The following is a 12019-nucleotide window of genomic DNA, read 5'->3' on the forward strand; positions in this document are numbered from 1 at the left end:
TTTTTGTATTTTTGTATTTTTAGTAGAGTCTGGATTTCACCACGTTGGCCAGGCTGGTCTTGAACTCCTGACCTCAGGTGATCCACCCACCTTTTCCAAAGTGCTGGGATTACAGGCATAAGCCACTGTGCCCCACCTTCACCAGTTCTTGAAGGGATTTCTTCTGGGTCTCAGTTTGGAATCTGCCTGTCCTTGGACCCTGGGAGAGTCTCCTGCCCTGAGCTGAGAGGGTTCATGTGGGGGCTGATAATATACCAACTTCGTTTACAGAGCTTGTTTACTGGAGTCAGGAGTGGGACTCAGTTTAGCAGCTGTGGCTGAATGAATTCAACCACCATTCTTGGAGACCTCCTAGGTCTGAGTCATTGCTTGAGGCACTTCAAGCGACTTGGGATGCTGATGCCTTAATGAAGGAGGAAACCTCAGAGAGGTGGATGGAGCTAGGATCCTAGAACTTGAGCTCCAGTCCTGACTTTTCAATCCACTCCTCATAAACTATGAAGCACCTCTCTAAGCCTCTGTAAAATGCAGAGTAACACCAGGTCATGAATTCCTTCATCAACTTGAATGGAACATCTTTATTTTTACTAACCTCTAACTGAAATTTAGCATTTTCTTCAATGATAAATGTGAGCAACAAACCCCAGGAGCATTAATGATACCTCTGACTTTTTCACGGTAAAAACCATGGATGCCTTTCTGTATGTTACAGTTGTGGCCAATGCTTCAAGAGTATTTATGCTCACTACTACTTCTGATTCCCAGGGCTCGTTGGGTCCTGCTACAGCTCATTAATTCATGTATTAACAAAGAAGCACATGGATTCCTAAGTCACAAATTTTTTTTAACATTTTGATAACTAATTATAACTGGATTCATATGTAATTTCTCTGTATATTACTTTATGTCAAGCTTGTCCAACCTGTGGCCCTTGGGCCGCATGGGGCCCAGGACGGCTTTGAATGTGGCCCAACACAAATTCATAAACTTTCTTAAAACATGATGAGATTTTTTTGTTTGTGTGATTTTTTTTTTCTTTTTAGTTCATCAGCTATTGTTAGTGTTAGTGTATTTTATGTGTGGCCCAAGACAATTCTTGTACTCCCAATGTGACCCAGGGAAGCCAAAAGATTGGCCATCCCTGCTTCGTGTATTTAGACCCTTATTCTGAGAAGGAGACTATCCACTGCCTTCACAGGACTGCTAAAAGAATCCCTGGTTTAAAAAAAAAAAAAAAGGAAAAGGGCAAGAGTTCAAAGCAGGAGATCTCTTGCATCCTCCTCACTCTGATGTTGTGGATTCTATTTGGTACCACTCAGCAGAAGAGTCACGTCACCTCACACCACATTTCCATCAGTCATTCATTCAACAGATGACCTTAGTAAGCACCTGCTACATCCCAGGCATGGGTATCATGAAAGCAGTTGGTACCACCATGGACTGAGCGCCTACTGTGTGCACAACCATTGAATAGCAGGAGGGCCTGTTTTGGTGAGTCCTTGGCCTGATGAAGGTGGCAGAGTCCCTGCCTTTAGAAAATTCCTAGTGAGCTGCTCTGATCCTTTCTTTGGTACAGGAGTCTGTACCCTTATTAAGCTCAGGTTGACTTCATCAAGAAAGATCTCAAGGTCTGCCCCACAGAGATCAGCTCTCCAAGTCCTGTGGCTATGGCTGCTAGTCTGGTCCTGAGGAAGGACATTCAAACCAGGACTTGGAGGGCTGAGGCCCAGCAGCAATCCCTCCAGTGGGGTGAGGCTTGCTCCCTGGTGCCGGTCACTATGGACCTCCTTTCCCCTCCCACTCTTCTCTTTCTCAGACACTATCTGGCTGCACATTCGGTCCCAAGGCCAGTGGACAAACAGGCTGTATGAGTCCTTCAAGGCATCAGACCCACTGGGCCGTGGTTCTAAGAGGCTGTCGAGGAGTGTGACAATGAGAAAGAGTCAAAGGTCGTCCAAGGTAGGTGGCTACTGGAGGGAAGGGGTCCACTCTGCTGGCAAGTCCACAGAGACCAAGTTGCCTCCTTCTTCTCAGTGAGCATCAATTATTGAGCAACTGCTGTGTACATAGATGGCAGCACAAGGGGGTTAGGCAACTGCTAACTCCGTGGTCCAAGAACCTTCTCGAAGTCTGACCACTCCAGATCCTTCCCAGTCTGATGTCCCCCATTAGAAGGGGGAGAGAGCAACAGAAAGAGAGTGGAAATTGAAATCAGAAAATCCCATCTCCAGGTCTCTGCTCTAATACTTTCTAACTGTGTGGGCTTGGGCATGTCTTTTGGTTTGTTCATCTATAAAATAGAAGTCGTTTCCTCTGTTACTTACCTTTCTCCTGTGACTATTTTAAAAACCAACTGAATGAATGCACATAAAGTATTGCTTGAAATAGGCAGCCTGGTCCAGGTGGGCCCCTCATCATCATCATCACCATCAGCAATGTTATTCTCTTTTGAGCCTTGATGAAACCTATAAAGCTGATGAGTTGCTGGTGTCATCAAGGCTTTGGAGGAACAGAGAGAGACAGAGCAACTGCTAAAGAAATAAGAATAGACGCTGAGGCCGAGGGTGGCTGAACTCAAACTAAGTAGACTGTGCCTCCTGACTGGGATACAGGTTAACATATGAAAACCCTGCCATAGGAGACGTTCCCAGGCCTGGCCCAACCCTACCTTGCCATTGGGGAATTTAAAATCCAGAGTTGAAATCCAGGTGAGATCCTGCTTGGCCAGACCAGAGGACCTTTCCAGGACCACACCAGGAGCAAAGGTCTGGGATATGCAGGGATAGGTAGGAGAAGCAGAACGTTCTCGGCTGTTAATCAGGGAAACTTCCTGAAGGAGGAAGCTGACTTTCAAAATCAGATGAGTCATGGCACACTGTGGATCAATGGGCTAGATACACTAAAAGCTGTTTTCTTGGGACCTCAGTCACCTCTGCCACTATAAATTGGCGCAACTTTCTGGCAGGCAGCCTGGCCATATGTGTCAGCATTTTAAATATGTATACCTACACACCCAGCAACTCCATTTTAGAGATGTATTCTTAAAAGCTAATTGGGGGCCGGGCACGGTGGCTCACGCCTGTAATCCCAGCACTTTGGGAGGCCGAGGCTGGCGGATCATGAGGTCAGGAGATTGAGACCATCCTGGCCAACATGGTGAAACCACGTCTCTACTAAAAACACAAAAATTAGCCAGGCGTGGTGGTGCGTGCCTGTAGTCCCAGCTACTCGGGAGGCTGGGGCAGGAGAATCTCTTGAACCCAGGAGGCAGAGGTTGCAGTGAGTCGAGATTACACCACTGTACTCCAGCCTGGGCAACAGAATGAGGCTCCAACTAAAAAAAAAAAAAAGCTAATTGGACAGGTGCACACAAAACATAGTAATTTCCTTGTTCATTTAGCAAATATTTATGAAGCACAGCATCTGCTATTTTCCAGGTTCTGTTCTAGATGCTGGAGATCTATCAGTAAGCAACATAGGCATAGTCACTGCTTACCTTCTGGTGGGGAGACAGACAATGAACAAATAAATATATGCATAACATCTCAGGTGATAATAAATGCTATAAAGATAAATAAGTCAGTGTCAAGAGGTAGGGATGGGAAAAGTGCTATTTCAGAGAGGGTGGTTGTTCTCAATAATGAGAAAATGAGGCTAATCAAAATGCCGAACAATAGGAAAATACCTAAATAAATTGCTGATCACCTTTACAATAGAATATTAAGTCTCCTAAAAAAAATGATTTGGTCAATTTAAATGTATTTACCTGGAAAACCAGTCAAGATGTAGTAAGTGGAAAAAGCAGGTTACTAAAAAGTATGCTCCATTTATGTAAAAGTGTTGTGTATGTCTGTGTTAGAAAAAAATCTGTAAGGGCATAGAGAAAATGTTGAGTAGTTATGTGCTCTGATACTTTTTTCACTATTGTTTAATAGTTTCTATATCTGCATTTTTAAAGCTAACATTATCGATTTGTGATTTAAATAATAAAGAAATTTCTGTTTTGAAACAAAGCAGAGTGTACAGCCCCCACTCATCCAGTCCTGCATCTCAGCACAGGGAGTTGTGGCATCCAAGGATGTCACTGGAGCTGACGTCCTATAGGCCCAAGGGAGATCCCTGGCCGCAGGACGAAGACCTGGTGTACACGAAGACAAAGGAGGAGACTCACACACAGTGGGAAACTTCTTCTGAAGACAGTGGCCTAGTAAGGCTGAGGAAGGTGGGACTAGAGACAGGAGGGCCAGCTGGCTTATCTTCCCAGGGATCGTGGGTCCTTGCAACATGCCTTAAGGGCAAAGCCATGTTCAGGAAGTATGACACATCACTTGGATGTCTCTGAAGCCAATCATCTGCCTGCTACCTTCCTAACTTTTGCGTAAGAACTGCCCCAGTAATACTTTCTACTTAGTATTTCTCTTACATCCCAACATTACTTTAAACTTAATTGTATTCAAAACAAGTCATAAGATTATTATCTCTAATGGAAAACTAGTATCGCATGCTGCACAGGATAGCTCTGAAAGTAAAAACAATGAGAATCAATGTTATTAAATTCTTGCTAGATGGCCTGTCTGCTAAGGCTCCATGCCAGAGGTGGTGCTCCACACTCTTACTCCTTCCTTCCCTCCCTTCCTCCCTTCCTCCCTCCCTCCCTCTCCCTTCTTTCTTTCTTTCTCTTCCTTTCTTTTTTCTTTCTTTCTTTCTTTCTTTCTTTCTTTCTTCCCTTTCTTTCTTTTCTTTCTTTCTTTCTTTTTTTTTTCTCTCTCTCTCTCCTTCCTTCCTTCCTTCTCTCTCTCCCCCTCCCTCCCTCTCTCTTTCTTTCTTTCACTCTTTCTTTCTTTTCTTTCTTTCCTTTCTCACTTTGTAAAAAGGAAGGAAAAAAGAGAAGAGATTAGTAAGTGTTAGAGAGGTTAAAAGATGCATTAGCCAGAATGGAAGGCTTTCTCGTTGCCATCAGAAGGACTAAAGAAAATTAAAAGGAGAAGAGCTGTCTCACAGCATAACTCTCAAACCACCGCCAGGAGTTCATGCCCCACACCAGGGGGAGCAGCCTTCAGTCATCTCGGGACAAAGAAGCAACACAGCGTGATGTCACAATCCTGGACAGGCAGCAGGAGACCCAGGCTCTACCCGAGCTCTGTGGGAATGTGGGCACGTCCTTCCCATGCTTTCAGCCTGGATGACTGCGAAGGTCACTCCTAACTCTGCCTCCTGCACCAGAGCGGGAAATAGCACAGGCTCCTTCAGGCCTGTTCTGGGGTCTGCTTCCTTCACCTTCCAGAAGGAAAGGCATTGACTTGGACAGGGCTGTCTGACTGTCTACCACGCTCTAAGTCCTGAGGAAGACAGAGGAGGCCTGCTCTCTTCCCCGAGGAGCACACTGTCTGAACCCCAGAGCAAAGCCCTAGGGCCTGGGGAGCTGTGAGCCAGGGGAGGCCCTGGCTTCTCTGCTTGGAGAAGGTGGGAAGAGCTTTGAAGAGGAATAGCAACTTCAAATGAGCTGGACAATGAAGGATACAGTGTACACTGACAGAATTTGACAGCTGGGGAAGAGGAAAGGGTGTTTCAGGCAGAGGGAAAAGAATATTCCAGGCTAGTAGGGGAATGCTCTCCAGTCACACCCTGAAACTGACTTGTGCTGGACCATAGGAGCCACTGTTAAATTTTCAGGAATTTCATGAGCTGGTTGTTAAACACAGTTGTTATGGTGGGAGCCATGGTGGGCAGGATTTACACCACAGAAATGGGCAGAAGCTAACAATCAAGACTGTTATCCCTTCGCCAGAAGTCAGTTTACCAGCACATCCCTGATGTTCTCTTTCAAAAGAGCTTCGTGTTCCCTGAATGGTTTGGGCAGAAAAAGCAATTCCCTTTTTATAAAGTTGCTCAGACTGGCAAGGGCAAGAAACTTCTAAGAAATCCCTAACACTGTCCATTCCAAGACCCATAACTCTCTGCTCTACTCCCTGCAGGGCTCTGAGATACTTTTGGAGAAACACAAATTCTGTAACATCAAGGTGAGAGGCTGCAGGGGTGGACGTGAGCAATAATGCCTGCCCCAACCAAAGGAAATGAAGTCTTTGCCTTTAAGGAGGGGCTGTTGTGGTTGTGGGTACTCAAGCTCCTCAAATCCTCATGGGCTGACATCCAGGTATCCGGGTCATGTAACCACATCCCTCCCCCTGCTCTTTATATCCAAGGGTGCTCAGCCTCACCCTCAGCCTGTCTCTTCACCAGGAGCAGGGATGGGTGTACAGTGTATAGGCCTACGTGCTCTCCATCCCTGTCTCCTGGGCACCCACGGCACACACCCCAGGGATGCGAATTGGGTCCTTGTTTTCACTAGCTCTGCACTGTAACACCTAGAGCTCTCCCCAGACTGGTGCTGAGAGCACAGGATGTGGAAAGAGCACTGGAGTGGGAGCCACTTAGACCTGGCTTCCAGCCCAGGAGATGTCTTTCTATATATAAAGGGGGTTCTGAAGCCCTGGGGACATCCCCTGGTAGCAGGGGAGACCAGCGTCACCCCCCATCTCTCTTCTCTGATGCCCTCTTGTGCACAGTGCTACATCGATGGGCCTTATGGGACCCCCACCCGCAGGATCTTTGCCTCTGAGCATGCCGTGCTCATCGGGGCAGGCATCGGCATCACCCCCTTTGCTTCCATTCTGCAGAGTATCATGTACAGGTGGGTGAACAGTGTGCTCCTGCCTGCATCCTGGGTCAGAGCCCCAAGGCGCCCTCCCTGCTCCTCCTCCCTTTATTCCTTCTCCTTCCTCTCCTTTCACCTGTCTCTCTCTGCTCTTCTCTCTCTTTCCTCTCCTGCTCTGCCCCCCTCTCCTTTTTGTGTCTCATCCCTCCCCTTCCTCATAGAGTGGGCTCTGCCACCCCATCCTTGCTCCCTGTCCCCTGAACTGTTCTCTGGGGTCCTGAAAAGTCTCACCCCAAATTTACAACCCCTTCCTCCTGCCTCCCCTCAGGCACCAGAAAAGAAAGCATACTTGCCCCAGCTGCCAGCACTCCTGGATCGAAGGTGTCCAAGACAACATGAAGCTCCATAAGGTGAGTACCACCTCCTGCAGGCAGGCCTCCAGACCTTCTCCCCTGGACAACTCCTAAAATAGGAGCCCATCCTCCTGTGCAAAGGTGGGAGCGGATAGGTGATCCCTAATGGGATCTTTCTTTCCCCACAATACCCTGAATTCTCTTAAATGAGTTATCCCGGTGCCTCCTGAATGTCTGAGCTCCGCCCCTGCTTCAACATTCCCATCACTTCTGAGAGATGTTCTTAACATTTCATTAAATGTTGCAAAGCTTGACAGCTAGGCAGTCTGGATTCAGTTACAGCCATGATGCTACCTATCCATGACCCTATGGTGGTTTTAAGAATGAAAACATACTGGCTGGGCATGGTGGCTCATGCCTGTAATCCTAGCACTTTGGGAGGCCAAGGCAGGCAGATCACTTGAGCCCAAGAGCTCAAGACCAGCCTGGGCAACATGGCGAAACCCCATCTCTAACAAAAATACAAAAATTAGTTGGGTGTGGTGGTGAGCACCTGTGGTCCCAGCTACTTGGGAGACTGAGGTGGGAGGATCACTTGAGCCCAGGAGGCAGAGGTTGCAGTGAGCTAAGACCACACCACTGCACTCCAGCCTGAGTGACAGAGTGAGACTCTGTCTCAAAAAAGAAATAATAAAAATAATAATAATAATTAAAATAATATAATCAAATAATAATGGAAACATGTTTGCCTTTTGAAAATTCATCATCCTGTATAGGCCACTTAGAAGAGTTTCTTAAAAAGTAATTTATGTTTTTCTGGCTATCCTAAGCTAGTATTTCAACACACTGTTTGTTGTAAACAATAGAAGATATTAGAGAAAATCCCCGCCTTGGGGTCAGAAACCTGGTTCTGGTCCCATGCTGCTCTGTGATCTGGGCATGGCTGCTCACCTCTATGAGCCTTGATTTTTCCCTCCCTTAAATGGGTATCTGAATGTTCCCTGCTTACTTCAGGGTGGTCATATGGGTCCCAGGGATTACAGATGTGAGCCTCCTGCAAATCAGGGAGACCCAGCCTCTGAGCTGAAGGGCCTCTCTCCGTAGGTGGACTTTATCTGGATCAACAGAGACCAGCGGTCTTTCGAGTGGTTTGTGAGCCTGCTGACTAAACTGGAGATGGACCAGGCCGAGGAGGCTCAATACGGTAAGAGAGGGACAGGGCCTGAGGGCAGTAGGAGTAGGGCAGGGGCCTTCAGCTTCTTTAAAAAAATAATTTATTGATATGAAACTCACGTAACCTAAAATGAACCATTTAACCATTAAAGTGAACCCAGAGTCTTTTTTTTTTTTTTTTTGAGACAAGGTCTCACTCTGTCGCCCAAGCTGAAGTGCAGTAGCACGATTATGGCTCGCTGCAGCCTCCACCTCCCAGGCTCAAGCAATCCTCCACCTTGGCCTCCAGAGCAGCTGGAACCACAGGTGCAGGCCACCACTTCCGCTAATTTTTTTTTTTTCTCGTAGAGATGAAATCTCCTTATATTGCCCAGGCTAATTCAGAGTCTTTTTAAGAGGTGTTTATTCCATTTCTGGAGAAGTAGGATGGGGGGAGATTCTATTAAAATGTAACATTTTGTAAAGTTGAAAAATAGAAGGGGGAAAAAAAAGCCCTCATAATCTCATCCAGCTATCCAGGCTATCCAGATGACATCAGGCATTTTAAAGGATTCCCTTCCAATTTTTGTTTTCTTATTCATATTTTATAAAAATATATTTCTTTATTTTTGTAATTTATCTTTTTCATGACATATCTTTTAATTCAGAATAGGCACATGTTGAAAATTTAAATTCCTAGGCCTCACCCCAGATCTTCCAAATCAGATAGATTCTCTGAGAGTCAGGCTCAGGGATGTACATTTTAACATGCTCCTCAAACGATTCTTATTCACACTAATTTGTGTTTGGCTTTTGAAGTATAATTTACATACAATAAAATTTACCAATTTAAGCGTACAATAAATACAATGACATTTTGACAAATGCATACAGTAGTGTAACCACCACTGCAATCAAAATATGGAGCATTTCTTTCCATTCCTCCTGAAAATTTCCTCTTCCTGTTTTGCAGTCAACACCCTCCCCTGACTTGTAACCCCTGGCAACCACTGGTCTGCTTTCTATCACTACAATTTTGCCTTTTACAGAATTTTACATAAATGGAATCATATAATACGTAGTCTGTTCCGTCTGACGTCTTTCACTTAGCATAATACCTTCAAGATTTATCCGTGTTGTTGCATATATCAGTAAGTCCATTCATTCCTTTTCATTGCTGAGTAGTATTCCATTCTATGGGTGTACCACCATTTGTCCAATTATCTTTTAAAAAGAAATTTAAAAATCAGAAAAGCAAATTTTTTATTTTTATACATATATTTACCATTTCTGGGGTCTTTTCACTTTTTGTGCCTGGATTGAGATTTCCATCTGGGAAAGTTTTCCTTCTGCTTGAAGAACTGATGGTTCTTTGTAATGCAGGTCTGCTGGTGAGAAACTCTTTTGGCTTTTCACTGCAAACACCTTAGCTCTGTCACCCAGGTGCAATCTCGGCTCACTGCAACCTCCACCTCCCAGGTTCAAGCAATTCTTCTGCCTCAGTCTCCCAAGTAGCTGGGATTACAAGCGCCCGCCTCCACGCCAGGCTAATTTTGTGTTTTTAGTAGAGAGGGGTTTTACCATGTTGGCCAGGCTGGTCTCAAACTCCTGACCTCAAGTGATCCACCTGCTTCAGCCTCCCAAAGTGCTGGAATTACAGGTGTGAGCCACCGGCCTGGATTTTATGTTATTTCTTTAAATAGTACTGCACTTCGTTCTGGTGCACAGTTAAATTATGTAAGACTGTGGATCTTCTTGAGGCTCACTTTTAACTTTTATTGGGGTGAGTCTAGAGCAGCCTTTAGTGCGGGATTAATTTAACCCCAGTACTAAGGTGATACACTTCTGAGGACTCCACCTAATGCGCTATATACGGCAAAGCCTCTTCGCTTTTAGTGAGAACACCAACTATTCCCAGCTGTTTAAGCTCGAGGTATCGTTTATCCTAGTTTTTCTGGTCATTTTCTTTCACACATTCAAATTAATGCTCAGCCAGAGACTTAGGAGAAACTATGCAGATTTTCAGAGCAAGTGAGTAGCCTCCTCCCTGCCTCCCCTCCTCCCTGCATCTCTCCTTCTCTCCTTCTCACCTTCCCTCTCTTCCTTTCTGCAGTTCACTTTTCCAGTCTTGTGCTTAACATTCTGGCTGTCCTGGCCTCTGTGAATGCCAGTTTCTGTCTCCTCTCCTCTCCTCAGGAGACTGCATCAGGCAATAAGCGGGGCTGTTGTAGGGCTTACTTCGTCTGTTTCTCTTCTCTCAGCAATGATAGTCCCGTGCCACCTGCTGATCAATGTCTGGAAACCATTGTTTCATGTGTTTTGTCCATTTTTCTGGTTGTTTCAGGTGGAAGGGTAAATGTGGTTCATTTTACGGCAATGTAAATTTTTCTTTTTTTTTTTGAGACAGAGTGTGTCTCCATCACCCAGGCTGGAGTGCAGTGGCGCTCACTGCCACCTCTGCCTCCCGGGCTCAAGCGATCCTCCCATCTCAGCCTGCTAAGTAACTGAGAGTACAAGTGTGCGCCACCATGCCCAGCTAATCTCATTTTTTGTAGATGAGATTTCTCCAGGTTACTCAGGCTGGTCTTGAACTCCTGAGCTCAAGTGATCTACCAGCTTTGGCCTCCCAAAGTGCTGGGATTACAGGCATGCACCACTGCACCTGGCCTGCAACATACATTTTTGATGTACACAAGCTGTGAGTAGAGACAAACATGGATACAGATATATATTTATGGGGGGTGAGTGCTCAACCTTTTTTCTGATGAAATGAGAATAAAAAGTTTAGAGAGTGATCTAAGATAAAGATTAGACACCCTTTTTCCTTCCATTCCTGTTTTTTTTTTAAAAAAAGATTAAATACCTTAACATACATGAAGTCATTAACTGTTTGGTCCCTTCTTTTATACTTTTATCAAAAATGAATGTTTGGCCTGGTGGCTCACGCCTGTAATCTCAGTGCTTTGGGAGGCCAAGGTAGGAATATTGCTTGAGGTCAAGTTTGAGACCAGCCTGGGCAACACAGGCACATGCTGTCTCTACAAAAAATGTTTTTTAAAAAACTAGCTAGGCATGGTGGTATGCACCTGTAGCCCTAGCTACTTGGGAGGCTGAGGTGGGAGGATCACTTGAGGCCAAGAGTTTGAGGCTGCAGCGAGCCATGATAGCCCTACTGCACTCCAGCTTGGGCAACAGAGTAAGACCCTGTCTCAAAAAAAAAAAAAAATAGAAGGTTTGAATGTCCTCCCCTCAACCTCTCCAACCTCTCCCTCCTCACTGCCTAAGTGTTTGCTGTATTCTACATTTTTTACTAAGCATTTACTCTCATCATTGTTAAGTATGATAAAATATTTCTCTGGATCATATCATAGTCTTCATGGGACATCTTTGTGGAATACTGAGGGTTTACACTGTATTTAAATGTTAATCTGTTAAAGTCATTGTTTTGTTTTCCTTATAATTTATACAAGAAGAAATATCTTTAGATATGTTTCTAACTTTTTAAGAGAATTGGCATAGTGTTTTAGACTTGTTGAGTTCATTAGAACTAGATCGTATTTGACTATTTAATTATCACAAGGTTGTCATGAGTGAATTCAAATTCCTATGATAAACACAGTTTATACATTCAAGGAATCAAACACAATTTTCTACAAGAAACTATCCAAACAGATCTAGTTTACTATAACAAACATTCAGAGCCTTAAAGTTCAAGTCAACAGTCTTTGGAAGATAACTCTTCAAGCTTAGACTAGTTCAGTAAAGCTCCTTGCCCTTTCTTGTAAATAACAATTACAGCAAATATTTATATAACATTGACTTCATTTTTCTAAATGCTTTTACGTATATTAATTCATTA

The 12019-nt window shown here is 44.7% G+C and overlaps 2 protein-coding genes across 5 annotated transcripts in view, besides 1 other annotated feature; both read left to right on the forward strand.

Annotated features, from left to right (window-relative positions):
- The window catches only part of SPESP1-NOX5 (SPESP1-NOX5 readthrough), a 132238-nt gene that overhangs the window by 110322 nt on the left and 9897 nt on the right, over nucleotides 1–12019 (forward strand). For all 3 annotated transcript variants that reach the window (NR_033671.3, NR_033672.2, NM_001184780.2), the window contains 5 exons: nucleotides 1817–1959; nucleotides 5976–6020; nucleotides 6567–6691; nucleotides 6984–7065; nucleotides 8113–8212. Coding sequence is in view for 1 of the 3 variants with exons in the window: in NM_001184780.2 (NP_001171709.1) it covers nucleotides 1817–1959; nucleotides 5976–6020; nucleotides 6567–6691; nucleotides 6984–7065; nucleotides 8113–8212 (495 nt within the window). In the remaining 2 variants the exon portion in view is untranslated. The remainder of the gene's footprint in view (nucleotides 1–1816; nucleotides 1960–5975; nucleotides 6021–6566; nucleotides 6692–6983; nucleotides 7066–8112; nucleotides 8213–12019) is intronic.
- Nucleotides 1–12019, forward strand: part of NOX5 (NADPH oxidase 5) — a 48068-nt gene that overhangs the window by 26152 nt on the left and 9897 nt on the right. For both annotated transcript variants that reach the window (NM_024505.4, NM_001184779.2), the window contains exons 10-14: nucleotides 1817–1959; nucleotides 5976–6020; nucleotides 6567–6691; nucleotides 6984–7065; nucleotides 8113–8212. In NM_024505.4, coding sequence (NP_078781.3) covers nucleotides 1817–1959; nucleotides 5976–6020; nucleotides 6567–6691; nucleotides 6984–7065; nucleotides 8113–8212 — 495 coding nt within the window. The remainder of the gene's footprint in view (nucleotides 1–1816; nucleotides 1960–5975; nucleotides 6021–6566; nucleotides 6692–6983; nucleotides 7066–8112; nucleotides 8213–12019) is intronic.
- Nucleotides 8070–8251: a silencer, noted in NCBI's record as "fragment chr15:69341256-69341437 (GRCh37/hg19 assembly coordinates)". NCBI's record gives its function as "represses an EF-1alpha promoter that drives an FKBP-Casp9 reporter gene in an ReSE screen in phorbol 12-myristate 13-acetate-treated (for megakaryocytic differentiation) K562 erythroleukemia cells {active_cell/tissue: K562(+PMA)}" and the evidence as "EXISTENCE:reporter gene assay evidence [ECO:0000049][PMID:32094911]".

The sequence above is a fragment of the Homo sapiens genome, chromosome 15 (assembly GCF_000001405.40).
Source record: "Homo sapiens chromosome 15, GRCh38.p14 Primary Assembly".
NCBI classification, from domain to species: domain Eukaryota; kingdom Metazoa; phylum Chordata; class Mammalia; order Primates; family Hominidae; genus Homo; species Homo sapiens.